Raw genomic sequence first — 21672 nt, 5'->3', positions numbered from 1 at the left:
TTGCATCCCAGGGATGAAGCCCACTTGATCATGGTGGATAAGCTTTTTGATGTGCTGCTGGATTTGGTTTGCCAGTATTTTAGTGAGGATTTTTGCATCAGTGTTCATCAGGGATATTGGTCTAAAATTCTCTTTCTTTGTTGTGTCTCTGCCAGGCTTTGGTATCAGGATGATGCTGGCCTCATAAAATGAGTGAGGGAGGATTCCCTCTTTTTCTATTGATTGAAATAGTTTCAGAAGGAATGGTACCAGCTGCTCCTTGTACCTCTGGTAGAAACTGGCTGTGAATCCGTCTGATCCTGTACTTTTTTTGGTTCGTAAGCTATTAACTATTGCCTCAATTTCGGAGCCTGTTATTGCTCTATTCAGGGATTCAACTTCTTCCTGGTTTAGTCTTGGGAGGGTGTATGTGTCCAGGAATTTATCCATTTCTTCTAGATTTTCTAGCTTAATTGCACAGAGGTGTTTATAGTATTCTCTGATGGTAGTTTGTATTTCTGTGGGATCAGTGGTGATATCCCCTTTATCATTTTTTATTGCATCTATTTGATTGTTCTCTCTTTTCTTCTTTATTAGTCTTGCTAGTGGTCTATCAATTTTGTTGATCTTTTCAAAAAACCAGCTCCTGGATTCATTGATTTTTTGAAGGGTTTTTTGTGTCACTATCTCCTTCAGTTCTGCTCTGATCTTAGTTATTTCTTGCCTTCTGCTAGCTTTTGAATGTGTTTGCTCTTGCTTGTCTAGTTCTTTTAATTGTGATGTTAGGGTGTCAATTTTAGATCTCTCCTGCTTTCTCTTGTGGGCATTTAGTGCTATAAATTTCCCTCTACACACTGCTTTAAATGTGTTCCAGAGATTCTGGTATGTGGTGTCTTTGTTCTTGTTGGTTTCAAAGAACATCTTTATTTCTGCCTTCATTTCATTATGTACCCAGTAGTCATTCAGGAGCAGGTTATTCAGTTTCCATGTAGTTGAGTGGTTTTGAGTGAGTTTCTTATTCCTGAGTTCTAGTTTGATTGCACTGTGGTCTGAGAGACAGTTTGTTATAATTTCTGTTCTTTTACATTTGCTGAGGAGTGCTTTACTTCCAACTATGTGGTCAATTTTGGAGTAAGTGTGATGTGGTGCTGAGAAGAATGTATATTCTGTTGATTTGGGGTGGAGAGTTCTGTAGCTGTCGATTAGGCCTGCTTGGTGCAGAGCTGAGTTCAATTCCTGGATATCCTTGTTAACTTTCTGTCTCGTTGATCTGTCTAATGTTGACCGTGGGGTGTTAAAGTCTCCCATTATTATTGTGTGGGAGTCTAAGTCTCTTTGTAGGTCTCTAAGGACTTGCTTTATGAATCTGGGTGCTCCTGTATTGGGTGCATATATATTTAGGATAGTTAGCTCTTCTTGTTGAATTGATCCCTTTACCATTATGTAATGGCCTTCTTTGTCTCTTTTGATCTTTGTTGGTTTAAAGTCTGTTTTATCAGGGACTAGGATTGCAACCCCTGCCTTTTTTTGTTTTCCATTTGCTTGGTAGATCTTCCTCCATCCCTTTATTTTGAGCTTATGTATGTCTCTGCACATGAGTTGGGTTTCCTGAATACAGCACGCTGAAGGGTCTTGACTCTTTACCCAATTTGCCAGTCTGTGTCTTTCAATTGGAACATTTAGCCCATTTACACTTAAGGTTAATATTGTTATGTGTGAATTTGATCCTGTCATTATGATGCTTGCTGGTTATTTTGCTCCTTAGTTGATGCAGTTTCTTCCTAGCATCAATGGTCTTTACAATTTGGCATGTTTTTGCAGTGGCTGGTACCGGTTGTTCCTTTCCATGTTTAGTGCTTCCTTCTGGAGCTCTTTTAGGACAGGCCTGGGGGTGACAAAATCTCTCTGCATTTGCTTGTCTGTAAATTATTTTATTTCTCCTTCACTTATGAAGCTTTGTTTGGCTGGATATGAAATTCTGGGTTGAAAATTCTTTTCTTTAAGAATGTTGAAGATTGGCCCCCACTCTCTTCTGGCTTGTAGAGTTTCTGCCAAGAGATCAGCTGTCAGTCTGATGGGCTTCCCTTTGTGGGTAACCTGACCATTCTCTCTAGCTGCCCTTAACATTTTTTCCTTCATTTCAACTTTGGTGAATCTGACAATTATGTGTCTTGGAGTTGCTCTTCTTGAGGAGTATCTTTGTGGCGTTCTCTGTATTTCCTGAATTTGAATGTTGGCCTGACTTGCTAGATTGGGGAAGTTCTCCTGGATAATATCCTGCAGAGTGTTTTCCAACTTGGTTCCATTCTTCCCATCACTTTCAGGTACACCAATCAGACGTAGATTTGGTCTTTTCACATAGTCCCATATTTCTCGGGGGCTTTGTTCGTTTCCTTTTATTCTTTTTTCTCTAAACTTCTCTTCTTGCTTCATTTTATTCATTTGATCTTCTATCACTGATACCCTTTCTTCCAGTTGATCGAATCAGCTACTGAGGCTTGTGCATTTGTCACGTAGTTCTCGTGCCATGGTTTTCATCTCCATCAGGTCCTTTAAGGACTTCTCTACATTGGTTATTCCAGTTAGCCATTTGTCTAATCTTTTTTCAAGGTTTTTAACTTCTTTGCCATGGGTTCGAACTTCCTCCTTTAGCTTGGAGTAGTTTGATCTTCTGAAGCCTTCTTCTCTCAACTCGTCAAAGTCATTCTCCGTCCAGCTTTGTTCCGTTGCTGGTGAGGAGCTGGGTTCCTTTGGAGGAAGAGAAGCGCTCTGATTTTTAGATTTTTCAGTTTTTCTGCTCTGTTTTTTCCCCATCTTTGTGGTTTTATCTATCTTTGGTCTTGGTGATGGTGACGTACAGATGGGGTTTTGGTGTGGATGTCCTTTCTGTTTGTTAGTTTTCCTTCTAACAGTCAGGACCCTCAGCGACAGGTCTGTTGGAGTTTGCTGGAGGTCCACTCCAGACCCTGTTTGCCTGGGTATCAGCAGTGGAGGCTGCAGAACAATGGATATTGGTGAACAGCAAATGTCGCTGCCTGATCGTTCCTCTGGAAGTTTTGCCTCAGAGGAGTACCTGGTCGTGTGATGTGTCAGTCTGCCCCTACTGGGGGGGTGCCTCCCAGTTAGGCTACTCGAGGGTCAGGGACCCACTTGAGGAGGCAGTCTGTCTGTTCTCACATCTCAAGCTGCGTGCTGGGAGAACCACTACACTCTTCAAAGCTGTCTGACAGGGACATTTAAGTCTACAGAGGTTTCTGCTGCCTTTTGTTTGGCTATGCCCTGCCCCCAGAGGTGGAGTCTACAGAGGCAGGCAGGCCTCCTTGAGCTGCAGTGGGCTCCACCCAGTTTGAGCTTCCTGGCTGCTTTGTTTACCTACTCAAGCCTCAGCAATGGCGGGTGCCCCTCCCCCAGCCTCACTGCCACCTGGCAGTTAGACCTCAGACTGCTGTGCTAGCAATGAGTGAGGCTTCGTGGGCATAGGACCCTCTGAGTCATGCACGGGATATAATCTCCTGGTGTGCCGTTTGCTAAGACCATCGGAAAAGCACAGTATTAGGGTGGGAGTGACCCAATTTTCCAGGTGCCATCCGTCACCCCTTTCCTTGGCTAGGAAAAGGAATTCCCCACTGCTTGCACTTCCTGGTGAGGCGATGCCTTGCCCTGCTTCGGCTCAGACTCGGTGCACTGCACCCACTGTCCTGCACCCACTTTCCGACAATTCCCAGTGAGATGCACCCGGTACCTCATTTGGAAATGCAGAAATCATTTGTCTTCTGCGTCATTCACACTGGGTGCAGTAGACTGGAGCTGCTCCTATTTGGCCATCTTGGCTCCATCTCTTTCTTTCTTTTTTTTTTTTTTTTTTTTGAGAGGGAGTTTCACTCTTGTTGCCCAGGTTGGAGTGCAATGGTGCGATCTCAGCTCATCGCAACCTCCGCCTCCCATGTTCAAGCGATTCTCCTACCTCAGCCTCCCAAGTAGCTGAGATTACAGGCATGCACCACCACACCTGGCTTGTTTTGTTTTGTTTTGTTTTGTTTTTGTATTTTTAGTAGAGACGGGGTTTCACCATGTTGGTCAGGCTGGTCTCGAACTCCAGACCTCAGGCGATCAGCCCACCTTGGCCTCCCAAAGTGCTGGAGTTACAGGTATGAGCCACTGCACCCGGCTTACCTCTCTTTCATTTTTAAGAAAGTAAATTATAACAATATAGTAGTCAGCACAACTTTCTTCCCAACCACTAGATAATCTCTGAAGTTAGCATCTAAATAAATTTCATATAACTGTACGATTACCACATACATACATGTGTATATGTGTGTGTGCTATTGTTTTGCATTATTAGATTTCATATTAATGGCAGCATACCAGTCATATCATTTTGCAACAATATAACCAACTAAAGATTAGTATCCAGAATATAAAAGTATCTTTAAATGAATAATAAATAGATAAGCATACCAACTTTTAAAAAGGACAAAGATTACAGGCAGGCAATTCACCAAATGAACAACAGATATATGAAAACATGCTCATTCTCACTAGTAATTAAATTAATTAAAACAGCAATAAGGCACCATTTTTCAGTCCTCAGACTGGAAAAATTAATGTCTGGATTCACCAAACACTGACATAAGTGTGAAGAAGTAAAAACCCTTGGACATAGCTGGTTAGAATGTAAATTGGTACACATATTTTGGATAAAAATATATTTTAATACATTTAATAACATTTTAATAATGTTTAATACACTTGTGCATATCCTAGCAATTTTACTTCAAAATATTTACCTTTGAGACACCCTTCTATGCTTGAGACACTTAAGAAAACCATTTTTCTTAGCAGAGATTGTAACAATAAAAAAGAATAAATATAAATTTCCCTTAGTAGACAAATGAGTAAACTATTTTGTTCATATTTGCAATATTTTGCTGCAGTTAACTTTAAAAAACCCACTTTACCGTATCAACATGTATGTAACTTAAAAATATTATGTTCAATCTAAAAAAATTACAATGTGATAGAAACTGTATGTTGCCATTAACATAAAATTTAAACCTGAAGACTAATAGTATGTACATTTTTGTTCATATCTACATACATAGTAAAGATACCAAAACATATAGGATTCCTACACATCAACTTTAGGATGGTATTTACCTAGAGGTTAGGAGAAAGGTTATCCTGGCACTATACTATTGTAATTTTTTTTAATAAGAAGAAAATGGTGTGAAGCAAACACTGAAAAATATTAATACATTTAAAATCTCCATGCAAGTACAAAGGATCTGATATACTATTTTCTGTATTTTTGAAAGATTGAAATTTGCCATAAATATACAAATTATGTGTGACAGCATTTTCCCATAACCTCATGTTTACAGATATATCATTATTTTATGAAAGTCATTTAAAAATTAGTTCATAACTGATTTCTAAAGTAAACATATATGTATAATGCTAGAATCCAAATTTTCCTGCTTTTCTGCTTCCAAAGAAATATATTTTATAACATCTTCACACAAGATTTTGAAAGTGTCCTCTCTTCAGTCTGTGAAATGCCAAAGTTCATCTTGTTATGGGAATTCCCACTATGACAGAATGTCTTAGCTCTAATTTGTGATGAAGGTGTGAGAACAGAGTTATGGCTTGATTTTTAGATGTGTCAATGTGAGAAAATGGAAAAAGGTGGTTACACAAAGAGATTGCAAATCAGACGTGCCAAACAAAATGTAATTTTGGAGAGAAATAGTCTCCATAGAACTCTTTTTTTTTTCACTGTAGTCTAAAAACTTTCCAAATACTGTTTCCTCATATAAATAGAAGATCAAAATAAATGATTTGAATTTTAATGTTGCCAGAAATGCAATGCAGTTCCCTTTGAAGGAAGGATTTAAAGATTTTTTTTTTAAACTGTAATTTCCCCTTTAATTTGGAAACTCAGATTTACCTTTGAGGCAGAGGACTATTTTTACCAGGGGATGAGAAGGAGGAATGGTAAAGCTGCTTTAGTGAGCTCCTTAAATTATATAACTGTAAGCCAGGAAAGTTAAGTTGACAGAATGCAGCCAAGAAAGTTCTCACCAAGATTCTTTCTTACAAAAATAAAATATATAAATATTTAATCAAAACTGTGTCCCTAGAAGTTAGTTTTTTGTCTAATTTTAATGTTCACTTGTGTATCTGTAACCTAAAACTTGTTAAATTTTTGACTTGAGTGGGTGTCATGTAGATCTGTGAGTGTTTGCTTGTGGTAGCATAGGGGTGTGTGTGTGTGTGTGTGTGTGAGTGTGTGTGTCGTGTTCAGCTATTGTCTCAGCTCTAGTTCGTAAGAGAATAATGGTTTATACTGGACTACAGTCAGATGCACATGCAGGCTCTGACTTCTCTTTACCTCAACATGGAAAAAAGTTTGTAAAAAGAACCAGATCCTTGGGCATTAAACAAGAAAACATAGTTTAGGTTTACACAATGGTTCCTGAGTTAAAAATAAATCAACAGGATGTTGGGAAATGTCTTTTAGTAGTAGTATTACAATTTTCCTCACTGGAGCAGATGACATCCTTGTGGATAAAATAGGACACTTCTTCAGATGTTGATGGTCCTACTGTCAGTGATACTATGAAGAAAGAGGTTTCCCCTTAAAGGGAAAATGGTTTCTTCTTTCTACAGGGTCTAGGGTCACTGGGCCACATATTAGGAGTATTACTATAAGCTGCTAATTTTCCTTTGTTCCAGCCCTCTCCCGCAGCTCACAAGACATCCCCACCATTACTACTTACGGCAACTCACAGCTTTCCAAAATCTCAACATATTCCTAAATACTTCTGCAGGCATAAAGCCCTGCCCCTGCCTAAAGCCTCAAGTCACTTGATGTGGGATATCCAGCGCTCCAGGTAAAGGTGAAGAGCTATTTTGCGGGGAAAAGCAGAAGCAGCCAAACCCAATACCCTTCAGAGAGGGAGAGTCCTGAGACCATATGCCTACACCATTAACATTGTAGGGCTCTTACTATTGGAAATGAAGCAGGAATCTCTCGCCCACATAAGACACACCACAGATACAACACAATTTGTTGGCCATGAGGAAGAGAGGCAGGCACCTTGAGAAATTCTCACATACAAAGCCCAGGCACACAGGGCTTGCCTAAGACTGGCACAAGACCAAGATAACAGAAAGCCCTCCACCACAAGCCTAGTGAGATTGAAGCAACAAGTAATAGCAGTCTACAACTGGGGACAGTGCAATTGTGGGATGAGCAACTTCCTTTGTAGCACAGGTGTGCAGAGATGGCTGAGAAATGCAAGGAAACTGTCAGTGCAGGGAAACTGACAGTGAATCAGGGCTATTGAAATACACACATGCACACACACACAAACACACACACACACAAACACACACACACAAACCAGCACACCAGGCCCATCCTTAAGGGCAAGGCAATTATAGAAGGATTTGAAGCATTTGTGCACTACTGGCGACCATAGCAACAACAAAACTTAAATACAGTTTCATCTCTGACAACACTGACTTCTTCACTCATAGCCTGACAGAATAAAATCGTGCCCATTTTTCAGCATGCATATTATTTGTATCAGTCTTTACTGTTATATACATGATATTTAGTATTCAATCAAAATTTATGAGGAAAAATGGAAAGGAAAGAAAATTCTATTATTAGGAATAAAAACAGTCAAGAGAACCAACTCAGATGACCCATATGTTGCAATTATCAGTAAAACAGTTTTTAAAACCATAATTAATATGTTAAAGAGTCTAGTGGAAAACAGATAACATGCATGCACAGATGGGGGATTGAAATAGAGATAGGAACCACAAGAAAATGTCAAATAGAAATTCAATAAGTAAAAAACCGAGTATTAGAGATGAATAGTTCCGTTTTGGGGGCTCAACAATAGAGCAGACACAACAAAAGAAAAATTACTTCTGTTTAATTTAGGCAAATTGAAATACAAAAGGAATACAGAACAAGAACTGAGCATTCCTGATATGGAGGAAAATATCAAACTGTCTGGCATTTGAGTAGTTATTATCCCAAAAGAAGAAGTGAGGAAGAATCCAGTGAAGAAGTATTTAAAGAGATAACAACTGAACATTTTCCAAAACTAATAAAAGCCGTCAAACTACATATCCAAAAAGCCAGAGGACACCCTAGAAAGATAGGCACAAATGAAAACAAATAAAAATACATATACACATTATAGTCAAAATAGTGATTACTAAGGATAAAAAAAATCTTGAAAGCAGATAGAGATAAAAGATAAATAACATGCGGAGGAGTAAAAACAAGAGTTGTAAGACAAATGTCAATATACAACAATCAATTATGCAACGCAATTCCTATCAAAATCCCAACAGAATTTTCTGAGGATATATAAAAGCCTGTATTAAAATGTGTATAAGGAAGTACATAGAATAGCTAGAAAAGTATTTTAAAGGAAGAATAAATTTGGAGTACTTACACTACATAATTTTAAGATATTATCATTACCATAATTAAGTCAGTGGAAGGCTAGAAATGGGGTACACATATAAATCAATGAAAAAGAATAGAGAACCAAGGAATAGAGCTAAACAAATATATTCAACTGATTTTTGATAGAAATGCAAATACAATTCAGTAAAGAAAAAATGTCTCTTCAACAAATGGTCTGGAGCAACTGGACATCAATAATCAAAGAGAAATCTTGACACATACCTTATACCTTATACCAATAGTGACTCAATGTAGATCATAGATCTAAATGTAAAACTATAAAACGTATAAAAGAGAACATAAGAGAAAATCTTCTCGATGCATGGTTAGTTAATGAGTTATTAGACATGACACCAAATTCATGATCCATGAAAGAAAAATAAATTGATAAAACAATTTTGACTTCATTATAATTAAAAACTAGTTTTGCAAGTTCCTGTGGGTCTATAGTTATTTCAAATAAGAAGGTAAAATAAATAACTGTATTTCTATAGTCTAGCAATGGAAAAGCCATTTATGATTTGTATTTTATATACTGATTAGCTTTATATACTGATGAATACAAAATACTGATGAGAGTAATCAAAAAAGACCTAAACAAATGAAAATCCATCAGTTTTTGACAAGATTAATTATAAATTTATATGGAATAGCACAAATATTAGAATAGCCAAAACAAGTTGGAAAAGAAGAACAAATCTGGAGACTGCACGCTACCTGATTTCAAGATTTACAGCTGCAGTAAATTAGGGGATATCTTATTTGTGGATGATAAATAAGTAAATGAAAGCTGCTCAAAATAATTAGTCATTAGAGAAATGCAAACTAAACTACACACGCACAACCCGTCCCCCACCCCAGCCCCAAAACAATAGATAACACCATGTACTGATGAGGATGCGAAGCAAGTCGAATTCTTAGTCACTGTTTGTGAGAATGCAAAATGGCACAGCCACTTTGGAAACCGTTGAGCAGTTTCTTGTACAGTTAAACATACTCTCACCTTTTGATTCAGCAATCCTACTTGGAGGGTTTACTCAAGATAAATGAAAATGTACATCCACAAAATAACCTTTACGAGGATGTTTATAGCAGTTTTATTAATAACTATCTCAAACTATAAACAACTCAAATGTTCATCAACTAGTAAATAGATAAACCAGTTGTGGAATAGCCATTAAATGGAATATGAGTGAGCAATAAAACACAATGAAAAAATTATTCAATTTTTAAATGAATTATATTAAGTGAACTATCCCAAATTCAAAGCCTATAAACTGTATAACTTCATTTATGTGACATTTTGGAAAGGCAAACTGTTAGGGCAGAAAACAATATCAATTGTAACCTGAGCCAGGATGTTGGATAATTGAGCTGATCGTAAAGGAACACTAGAGAATTTCGGGGAGAGTGAGTGAATTTCTCTGTATCTTGTTGTTGTGGTGGTTACATAACTGTATGAGTTTGTAAAAATTCACAGAACTGTATATTCAAAAAGGGTGAAAGCCTCAATAAGTCTGGCCTCAATTGAACCCTGAGAAACTAAGATAGTCTGAACCATTCTTCACACAAATCCACAAAGAGGAAAGAAGTTTCTTTGTGCAGAGGTCAGTTAGTGGAATGGGGGCCAGCCATACATAGAGGACTGCTGAGACCTGTGTAGTGAGTGATCCCCAAAAAGCCCTTGGCAGAGAAAAGCAGCAAAGTGGAAAGACAAGAATGGCAAAGTAGAGATGCTTGAGGACATATTTAGAATATATGTGTGGAAGTATTCTGAGGCTCTTCCCCAAATTACTGGAGGGTTTTTTGAGTTAAGATATTTGCTGACACATGGGTGAAGGCATATGCTCTAATAGTGTTAAAATCATAATTTTTATTCATGGTTTGGTGATGCCTGGAGCATATAGATTTCATAAATCACACACACACACTCTCACACACAAACACTTATATCATCTTTATATTTACCTATGTTATTTTCAAATCTATGTGATTTTATTTTTTTTTATTCTGAGTGGTAGAGCCAAGAAAATGAACTATGCCAGAGTGCAGACTTCAGAACAACTGTTTCTATATGAAGGCAAGAGTAGCTTGCAGAATTGTTTCCACAAATGTGAGCATGGTAATTGTGATCATTTTGTTCTATCTTTTGTAAGTGTTCTAAAATGAACAAAATATCATCTGTTCTCACACTAAGCGAAGCTGAAGTCTCTTTGGGATTTTGAACGCTGAATAGAAAGAAAAAGAGTTGAAAGAGCAATACAATGTAGCTGAGTTATAGTGTTGAATGTTGAAACATTAAAATATGCAAAAGTGGTCACAGGTAGCGGAGGTGTTGGGGGATCACAATGGTAAACTGGGGCCTAAAATTGTTTCATGTTCTAGACATCCTTACAGTTGCTGTGTTACAGTCCAGTCATGATGAGTCCTGGCTATGCTGTAGTCACATTTAAAAATTTTGTTTTTGCATTGCCATGAGATCTTGTCATGGGAATTTTTTTTTTAATTAAGGTGCCCTCAGTGTGCTTCTGTCTGACATGTTTTAAAACAAACTGATCAATGGTTGAGTCAAGCTTTCTGTGTCTTGTTTTAAATTCCAATAACTAGGTTTAATCCTTGATCCAGATACCAAGTGTCAAATATATATTCCAGACCAAATTCAGGAATACATATTTTATTCTTGCCCCACAGAGACTGGGGAGTGCCTCTTTCATTTCAGTTCTCCACAGTGATTTAAGTCCTGCCTGGTAATTTAACTTCCATCGTTAGAGATGTAGCACCTGCTGCTGGGTCAGCCTGCATCCTTTTATACAGAGTACCTTCAGCCTACCTATAACTATTCTTCAATTATCTTCCAAGACAGACTCTATCACTGATGGGTGAAATTGCTTATTACCTATTTTCTGACATCATACATTCTGCATATCATGCTCCTTCTGTACAGTCAGGTTTCCTCCTATCACATGTAACTGGCTCCTGTTTTGCTTTAAACAAATCATTTTTTATTTTCTTCTTCCTGGGAACACAGAAATACTGCATTTTCTAGCCTATCATGAGGTTATCTGGTATTGATATGAGTAGTTCCGGTCAATGAACTGTGAAGGGAGGTCCGATGTATCCTTTAGGGGTTATCATAGAGCAGCTGAGTGTTCTCCACATTCTCTCTTCCTTTGAAGCAGTGATTGCGCAGTCAAATGATGAGATGGTTAAGCCATGGGATGGAAAAAAGCAAAACAAAACTGGATTGATGGTACACTTGGAGAAGGAGCCTGGGGAGTAGCTTGACCTGAATTGTAAGTGTAGCACGAATGAGAAAAAAGCCTGTCAAGTGTTAAACCACTGATGTTTTGGAGTTTGTTACTTATGTCACTCATTGTTTGTGTTTAGTTCATAAATCTAGTCTGTTAAGGCCTGCCTGTCACATAGTCACAAAAAACTACCAACTACTGTTAATTCTGTACACTGATTCAAACTTTTTTCAGCTAAAAATACCCTTGAAGAGTCATGGCATGCCACTATACCTTGTGATGTCCCCATGGCACTAAAAAAATTGTGAAGTAGATTATATTTGTTTTTGCTTATTAAGTTGCCCCATCAATTCCACCATGTCCCCTTTTCAAACCTTACTAAAGATCTTTCTACTCTTAAGAGCCTTTATGTTTAATGAAATGAGTTGAGTTCTATTTTTACTATCATATCTAAGAGTATTTTAATAAAGAAATAAGATTTGGTTTATTGGAATTTTGATAGTAATGCATAAGGAATTCATTTGGAGGTTACACATTTCATCTTGTCTTAGACCTTATCACAATGAATATTTTTCATCACGAGATCTCTCTGGTATTGAACTATAAGAAAAAAAGTGAAATGTAAGTGAAGAAAAAGTACCAGCCTGGGACTTCAAAAGGCTGTAGAATGAAATTTCAGTCCTCTAAAATTAGAAGGATGTTTCAGTTTTCAATCTTTTATTTTAAATTTTGTTGTATATAATCATATATATAATTATTATTGATTCTGTATATATCAATATGCATATAGAATAAATTAATATTATATTAATTATATATAATATAGTCTAGATTTAATTATGTATAATTAAAATGGTGAGTAGAAGGTGACTAGATACATTTTCACATATAGTCACGTATTGTAAGCCATTTACAGAGGCTTCAAATTCCAATGCACATGTAACTTTTCAAAGGTCAATGCATGTTGAAAGGTACATTGAATGTTTTAATAATAAAATTCCCATACGACAATACTCTTTTGTCATTACTTCACAAAGATGAACTTCTAGGAGCTAGTATATAGATTATTTGCAAAATTAAAATATAAACAGATAATTCTCTATTTTTATTTGGTGGCAGTCAGATAATCTAAGCCTAAAGTGCTAAATAGAATTCTGCAACTCTGGCATTAGTTGCAAGTATTTATGCTCTATAAAGCTAATAAGATTTTTAATCATATGGCATTTCTGTGTGACTTGGGTTTTAATTAGACTGCAATATTAAAATATCACTGAGTAATAAAACTGCAAAAGAAATTATTTGCCTTCTTTGATAATTTACAGAATATTTATTATTGCAAAATATTCCCTTTTAGTCAAGCTTAATTGAGAAATAAAGTAGGATAATGGAGAATCCACAGAAACCTGTAGAGTTCTACAGTTCATAAAATTATAGCATGAAAAACAATCCGATTTAAAATCTGCTTATTATATGTTTTAAATATCCGCTGACCTTCAAGTTTTTTCCATCTCCAACACTAACATTATAGTTCAATTATCTTATTCATCTTACTTTACTTATCATCCAGACTGATATTTATTTTTTTATTGTCTTTTTCTTTTTCACAAGTCAACCGGAGTGAACATTTTAAAACATAAATATTATCATGACAATCCTTCTTCAGTTCTATTGGCTGTTGCCCATTTTCACACCTATCCAGGGCATGAAAAATGGAGACTGCATTTCCTAGATGACTTTGCCAAAACGGTTCAGAAATTACTTAGATTCTACCCATATGATACAGTCTTACAGGACAAGAGAAGCAGAGCAGTAGAATATATTCTTTAATAGCAGAGGCAATGGACAAATGGACTTGAGCATGCATGAAATTTTACAGTGATTAACCTGACTTTATTTCCCTCTTCGAGGGCCATAGAGTAGAGATGACAATTGTGGTGGCTTTCTCAACTTTACCAACCTTTATGTTTTATAGCAGCTTTTTTTTAAAACCTCTGTAGCACAGACTGAGAAGGGCACCTGAAAGATAATGATGGCCCTTTCTGGAGTTTGCTCTTTTAGTTCTTCCAAACAGATTTGTTAGTGATTACTTCCCTGTATAAAATAGTTTTTGTTTGACATAGACTGTTTTCTAGTTTCCTGACTTAATGCTGCCTCATACTCACGCCTTAAAATTGTCAGTGGCTTTCTTTTTTTTTCTTTTTTTTTTTTTTTGAGATGGAGTCTCGCTCTATCACCAGGCTGGAGTGTAGTGGCGTGATCTCAGCTCACTGCAACCTCCACCTCCTGGGTTCAAGCTATTCTCCTGCCTCAGCCTCCTGAGTAGCTGGGGTTACAGGTGCCCACTACTACGCCCAGCTAATTTTTGGTATTTTTGGTAGAGACAGGGGTTTCACCATGTTGCTCAGGCTGGTCTCGAACTCCTGACCTCAGGTGACCCACCTGCCTCAGCCTCCCAAAGTGCTGGGATTACAGGCATGAGCCACCGTGCCCGGCCCCTTCAGTGGCTTTCTATTGCTTTATGGATGAAGCACAAAATACTCTACAAGGTTCTGGTCCAGCCTTTTCTAGAACCAGTCATCTGGAATTCTACAACTTCTGAAGTCTTCAAAAAGGCTCTGAACTCATTTGCAGTTTTCTGACATCAGGTATTGATCAGCATCCCTAACCCTGCCAGCACAGAAATAAATCACTACTTTCTAAAGTCTTCACTTCTAGCTCACACTTTAAAAACACTTCTAATAATGTTGCCAGAATTTTCTTCTTAATATTTCCCTGCTGAGAACATGTGATTATTCCCTAATGTCTACTAAAGAAGGTACAAAGTTGATCTTTGAAGTCAAATCACTGCTCTACATTATCCATATATGTATATATGAACAAAATCAGGATGCTGGTTGCTTTCACCTAACAGTACTCTTACAAACTGTTTTCTCTCTGAGACACATCTTCTGCTCCAAGCCTACTCCAATTTCCATCTGTCAAAATCTTATCCCTGGCTCAAGAGGCTTATCAAAAGTGATTTAAACATTTCTAATGCTCCCAACAAGATGTATGTTACCATTGATATAGTTACACAGACAATTTGGCTTATCAGTATTGTGATCTTTGTATTGATGTTCCTGACTTTACTATTTTTATCAAAAAACCAGTACAAGGGAGGCTATTATCAGTTATCCTGAAAAAATACTCAGATGCTATGACTAGGGCAATAAATCAACAATCTAATGTTTTTAATTAAGATGTAAAATAACTTAGGTAATCAAATATTTTCAAGACTGTAAGATATAAAAGATTGGTGGACAGAAGGCATGCCAGTCTTGCAAGCATATCAGGATATTCTTTATGATATATTAGGATTCAATATTTTCATTTATAAGTATCTTAATTCTCACCAAGAAAAAGTATATGAAATGTGATAAGTTGAGGGAGCTGCAGAGTACCAGTCTTAAGTAAAACCCATTGTTATATCAATGAACTGCCTAGCATAATGTTTTGCATAAAATACTAATATCTGTATATTGAATTATAAAAGTTTTCAAATTATATGACATTGTTTTATTCTGAAAACAGCTGTATAAGCTATACATTATTATACACTTATATTTCAGAAAAAAAACACCTAATCTCCGAAGTGTCTAAATGACTCATCCAAGGCCAGGCATCATTGGAGATTCTTCTCATTTATATTTGGTCTACAATATAGTATTATAAATTGGTTGACTAATTGAATTTAATCATAATTAAATAAAGAATTATAAAATGGAAAAATTTTCTTTATTTCCTTTATACTTGTTTTTTCGTTGGTGGTATGGTTTGGATCTGTGTTCCCAGCCAAATCTCATGATCAATTGCAATCCCCAGTGTTGGATGTGGGGCATTGATATGGTTTGGCTGTGTCCCCACCCAAGTCTCATCTTGAATTCCCATGTGTTGTGGGAGGGACCTGGTGGGAGGTAATTGAATCATGGGGCAAGTCTTTCCTGTGCTGATATCATGACAGTGAATAAGTCTCACAAGGTCTGATGGTTTTAAAAGGAGGAATTCCCCTGCACAAGCTCCTCTCTGCCTACTGTCATTCATGTAATATGTGGCTTGCTCCTCCTGGCCTTCTGCCATGCTCATGAGGCTTCCCAGCCATGTGGAACTGTAAGTCCAATTAAACCTCTTTCTTTGTAAATTACCCAGTCTTGGGTATGTCTTTATCAACAGTGTGAAAATGAACTGATACAGTCAATTGGTACCAGTAGAGTCAGGTGCTGCTGAAAAGATACCCAAAAATGTGGAAGTGACTTTGGAACTGGGTAATAGGCAGAAGTTGGAACAGTTTGGAGGCCTAGAAGAGGGCAGGAAAATGTGGGAAAGTTTGGAACTTCCTAGAGACTTGTTGAATGACTTTGACCAAAAGCCTGATACTGATATAAATAATAAGGTCCAGGCCAGGTGGTCTCAGAAGTTGATGAGGAACTTGTTGGGAACTGGAGCAAAGGTGACTCTTGTTATGTTTAGCAAAGAGACTGGTGACATTTTACCCTTGCCCTAGAGATTTGTGGAACTTTGAACTAGAGAGAGATGATTTAGCGTATTTGGTGGAAGAAATTTCTAAGCAGCAAAGCATTCAAAATGTAACTTGGGTGCTGTTAAAGGCATTCAGTTTTATTAGGAAAGCAGAGTATAAAAGTTCAGAAAATTTGCAGCCTGACAATGCGATAGAAAAGAAAAATCAATTTTCTGAGGAGAAATGCAAGCCTGCAGAAATCTGCATAATTAATAAGGAGTCAAATATTAATCCCCAAGACAATGGGGAAAATGGCTCCAGGGCATGTCAGAGGTCTTCACAGCAGCCCCTCTGATCACAGGCCCAGAGGCCTAGGAGGAAAAAGTGGTTTCCTGGGCCAAGCCCAGGGTGCCCATGCTGTCTGCAGCTTAGGGGCTTGGTGCCGTAGGTTGCAGCCACTCCAGCCATGGATGAAAGGGGCCAATGTAGAGCTTGGGCCGTGGCTTCAGATGCTGCAAGTCTCAAGCCTTGGCAGTTTCCATGTGGTGTTGAGCCTGCGGGTACACAGAAGTCAAGAATTAAGATTTGTGAATCTCTGCCTAGATTTCAGAGGATGTATGGAAATGCCTGAATGTCCAGGCAGAAGTCTTTGGCAGGGTTGGGGCTCTCATGGAGAAACTCTGCTAGGGCAGACCAGAAGGGAAATGTGGGAAGGAGCCCCTACACACAGTCTCTAATGGGGCACTGCCTGGTGGAGCTGTGAGAAGAAGGCCACCATCCTCCAGACCCCAGCATGGTAGATCCACTGACAGTTTGCACTGTGCACCTGAAAAAGCCGTAGACATTCAACGCCAGCCTGTGAAAGCAGCCAAGTGAGAGGCTGTACCCTGAAAAGCCACAGGGGTGATACCCACTTCTTTCATCAGAGTGACCTGGATGTGAGACATGGAGTCAAAGGAGATCATTTTGGAGCTTTAAGATTTAACTGGCCCACTGGATTTTGGACTTCCATGGTGCCTGTAACCCTTTTGTTTTGGCAAGATCCTCCCACTTGAAATAGCTGTTTTTACCCAATGCCTGTACCTCCATTGTATCTAGGAAGTAAATGGTTTTGATTTTACAGGCTCATAGGAGGAAGGGACTTGCCTTGTCTTGAATGAGACTTTGGACTGTGGACTTTTGAGTTAATGCTGAAATGAGTTAAGATTTTGGGCGACTGTTGGAAAGGCATGATTAGTTTTGAAATGTGAGGACATGACATTTGGGAGGTTTCAGGGGCAGAATGATGTGGTTTAGCTGTGCCCCTACCCAAATCTCATTGGAATTCCCATGTGTTGTGGGAGGGATCTGGTGGGAGGTAATTGAATCATAAGGCAAGTCTTTTCTGTGCTGTTACTCTGACAGCAAATAAGTGTCATGAAATCTGATGGTTTTAAAAAGAAGAATTCCCTTTTGCCTGCTGCCATCCATGTAAGATGTGACTTGCTCCTCCTTGCATTTGGCCATGACTGTGAGGCTTCCCCAGCCATGTGGAACTGTAAGTCCAATTAAACCTCCTTCTCTTGTAAATTGCCCAGTCTTGGGTATGTCTTTATTAGCAGCATGAAAACGACTGATACAGGCCTGATGGGAGGTGAATGGATCATAGAGTTCTCATGAATGGTTTAGCACCATCCCCCTTAGTACCGTATACTGAGTTCTCATGATATCCTGTTGTTTAAAACTTTGTAACATCTCCCTCATCTCTCTCTTCCTCCTGTTACAGCCATGTGAAGTGCCTCACTCCCTGTTCACCTTCCACCATGATTTTAAGTTCTGTGAGGCCTCCCTAGAAGCTGATGCCACCATGTTTCCTGTACAACCTGCAGAATGGTGAGTAAATTAAACCTCTTTCCTTATAAATTAGCCAGTCTCATGTATTTCTTTATAGCAAACAGAGAATGGACTAATAATACTAATATAATGGTAATAGAGTAATTCAGGTGGTCCAATTCCTATGAAGATGTACCATAGGGGAGTGTCGGATTGTGATCCAAATACATGAAGTTCTATCAGCAATAACCCTCTGTTCCTCATTTTTAAAGGGAAATAGTTGATATTCAAACAGATTCAGCCACAAAGCCTTTTAAGGGTGAAAAAAAATCTATTTTTATTTTGACTACTAAGAAAATAATGAGGCTAAGCTCATTAAAATCTCAGTAATGGAATCAAACCCTAGTTGTTCTATATAATCAAACTACATAAACCAAATGAAGTAATTTTATATAAATAATAAGTAAATAAACCACGTACTAAATAAGCTCCATATTCTTGAAATTTTCCTACAGTTTTAAAATGACACTTTAATTGAATATTTTTGGTTTTGTAGTTGACCACAGTCAACCAGTGAGGTGGCTGTTTTATTATGCTTTGCTTCTGGCTGAGTGTGAAAGGAAAGGGAGGTTTGTAGGGAAGGTGGCTTTTATTTCTATATAGATGTTGGCAAAAATAGAAAGCAGAGGACTGAAAATTACTAGTTAGGTACTGTACATCCTGTTTGTGAAAAAGGTCCCTTTTTCACATGAATGCCAATGAGAATTCTCTTTATCCTTAAATTTTCTAACACATAGTCTCAGTATATTTTGACATTCATTCTAACAAAAGAAATGTTAAAATTATGAGTTTTTATATAAAATCCTTCTGTGTACTGACTGGTCCCTCTAAATGTGTTTTGTTTTGCTGATATTATAGTTATTCATATTGAGCACCCAGTCCTGCTTCAGTTTATATTACTTCTTTATTTGGGGCTGCAAGAGTCATTTAAAAGAAATAGTGATTTGTTTCTTTTGCCTGACAGTCATCAATATTTTAGGTGACTATAACTCCATTTTTGCCACATAAATTTCTTCATAAAATGTTCTTTGTTTTGCTGTGATATCTCATTGTTCTATGATAAAAGTAGGCTTTTATGCTATACAGTTGTATAATATGGCAAATTCTCCACAATAGTAAAAGGTATTTAGAATATGACTTATGGAATAGCCTTATCTTAAAGAACTAGCCTTGTTAAGCTTTGCAGGGTATATAGAGTGATGTCTGTATTCTCAGTTATTTAAGAGTAGTTGGTCAAAAAGTGACTGTATAGTGATGCAAAATGATGATAGAGCATCCATAGCTGTTTCATGCATTGCATAGGAGGGTACGTAAATTTATTTGAAAAGTAAAATGTACCTTAATACCTATGTAGGTAGCAGAACAGCCATAACATTTTGTAAAATGTACATAAAACTTGAAGCATTATTTTTAAAAAGCCATCAGTGATTATGTTTTACTATGTTTTATTTCTCTACAGACATGGAAATTAGTGCTTGCTTCCCAGAGTAATCTTCAAATTAAATATAGTCTTAAACTAAACAGACACCCAATTCTTGAAATACACACACACACACACACACACACACACACACACACACACACACACGAGGCATGCACCCCACACTATACAACAAATACTGGGCTCATTCCTAGGAAAAAAAGCCACCTTCTTTCTGAAAGTCCTCATTTGGTTCAATCAAAAATGAAGTAAGCATATGCATTTCTATGAGTATTGTCTATTAGGAAAAAAAATTGTCTTCAAAAACGTAAAAATATAGTTTTCTCAAAAGTATTTTCTGAATATATTGAATTATAAAGTGTCAAATACTGAAACAAGGGGAATAAATGGTATCAAGTGCCCAAATTTAGGGAGAAGACATTCCTTAAAAACTTAACAACAGAATCATTTTTACAAAACCCAGTCAATGCCCCAGACTCCCTCTCCCTAGTGAACACAACTAGAAAAACAGGAAGGATGATCACTGGATTCATGAGGGGAAAACCACAACTTTTTCCTCCTACATTAAAAGAGGAGGACTTATTCTTCCCTAAAAATACAACTCAGTATGTCTCAAAAATATTCAATGAAATGGAGATGTCTAAAACTAAGAGGGATAAATACTTCACTTCCCTTTGGCTATGTGCTTGTTCCATAATCTGTGACCTATTTATTTTGTCTCCGTGACTAAAGGTTAAAGAGGGTGGGAGAGAGCCAGCAGGGCAGAGAGAAGTGGCAGCATGAAGCCGTCTGCATGCCCATGATTTGGCACGGGAAGGATTGTTAGTCCCCCACGGGTTAAGTGGCAATGAAAACTAGCTGGGCATGAGATGTCTTGCTGGTAGGCTGCCCAAGAGCACCAAACAACAATAGATTGTGTGTTGGGCTGCCAAACGCAGGATCTGGGAAAGGGAAAAGAATTTGAGCTAGAATGAATTTCCACATTAAGTGGTAGTGCTGTGAGGAAGCTATTTACAGTTTGCCCTGAAATAACTCATACCTGGCCCTACAAGGGAGCTGGCATTTGGGCACTTGCCACGCACAAGGCATTGAGGGGCAGCCAGACTGGATGTGAATACACTAAATCTACACCACCTACATGATATTCACATGTCCTTTGTATATCTCCTATCCCTCCTACTCTCTCTGAACCCTGGCACTACAAATTTATTTCTTTTACGTACTGAATTTCAATGTAAGCTTTCATTTAGAGAAAGGGTGCCACATATAAGTATTTTTTCAAATATAATAAAAATTGTAGAATTAATTTTCTATAAGCAACCAGGTTCAAAATTCTACAACTTCATGCAGTTAGACATCACACAGAGCAGGGGGAGATGCGTCAGTATTCAACAAGTTATACAGGAGGTTTACTTGTTAAAAGGGGAGACTCACCTCTAATTTTCTCACTGGAAGTCACCTTAACATTTGGGCTTACTGCCTTGTACTATCATACACTATGAAGGTTTTTGTATGTGTATGTATACATACATAGACACAAATATGTATATGTGCCATATATACACAATATTATACAAATGTGTAATTATGTTGAATTATTTTTCAGAGAAGAGATAAAATAGCGAAAATACTAGTTTTACTTTTTCTTTACAAAACTTATTTTTTAAACTTTCGGTTAACGTTTTAATTGATGATGTCAGCTACAAAAAGTAACTGGCTCTATTGTAAGATATGCAAGCCTTATAGACATTATAGAGACTTCTGAAATAAAAGCTTTTTTAAGTTAATAAATATTCATTGGCCATGTCTTAGCCATGTCATAACCCTTTACATTTCAGTTACAACACTAACTAGATAAAATCTGATAAATATAACTATGATTAATTATCCAGATATTTTAATATAAAGCTTTATCTTATACAAAGGAAACAATACATTTTGAGAAATGTATACAAAGGGACATACTTCTGTGTAGATATATTTTTATTCTTCTAAGCATATGTGTAGTATTTGGAAAATGTAAAACCTTGTATCTTCTGTGTCTTCAATATGGATGTAGAAGAAAGAAAAATTTACCTTTACTCTACACTATCTATTGTCCTAAATGATCTTGAATAATTAAGTTCAGTTTTGAGGTTTT

The sequence above is a fragment of the Homo sapiens genome, chromosome 4, assembly GCF_000001405.40.
Source record: "Homo sapiens chromosome 4, GRCh38.p14 Primary Assembly".
In the NCBI taxonomy this organism is placed as follows: Eukaryota; Metazoa; Chordata; class Mammalia; order Primates; family Hominidae; genus Homo; species Homo sapiens.
Note: the sequence above shows the minus strand (reverse complement) of the source record.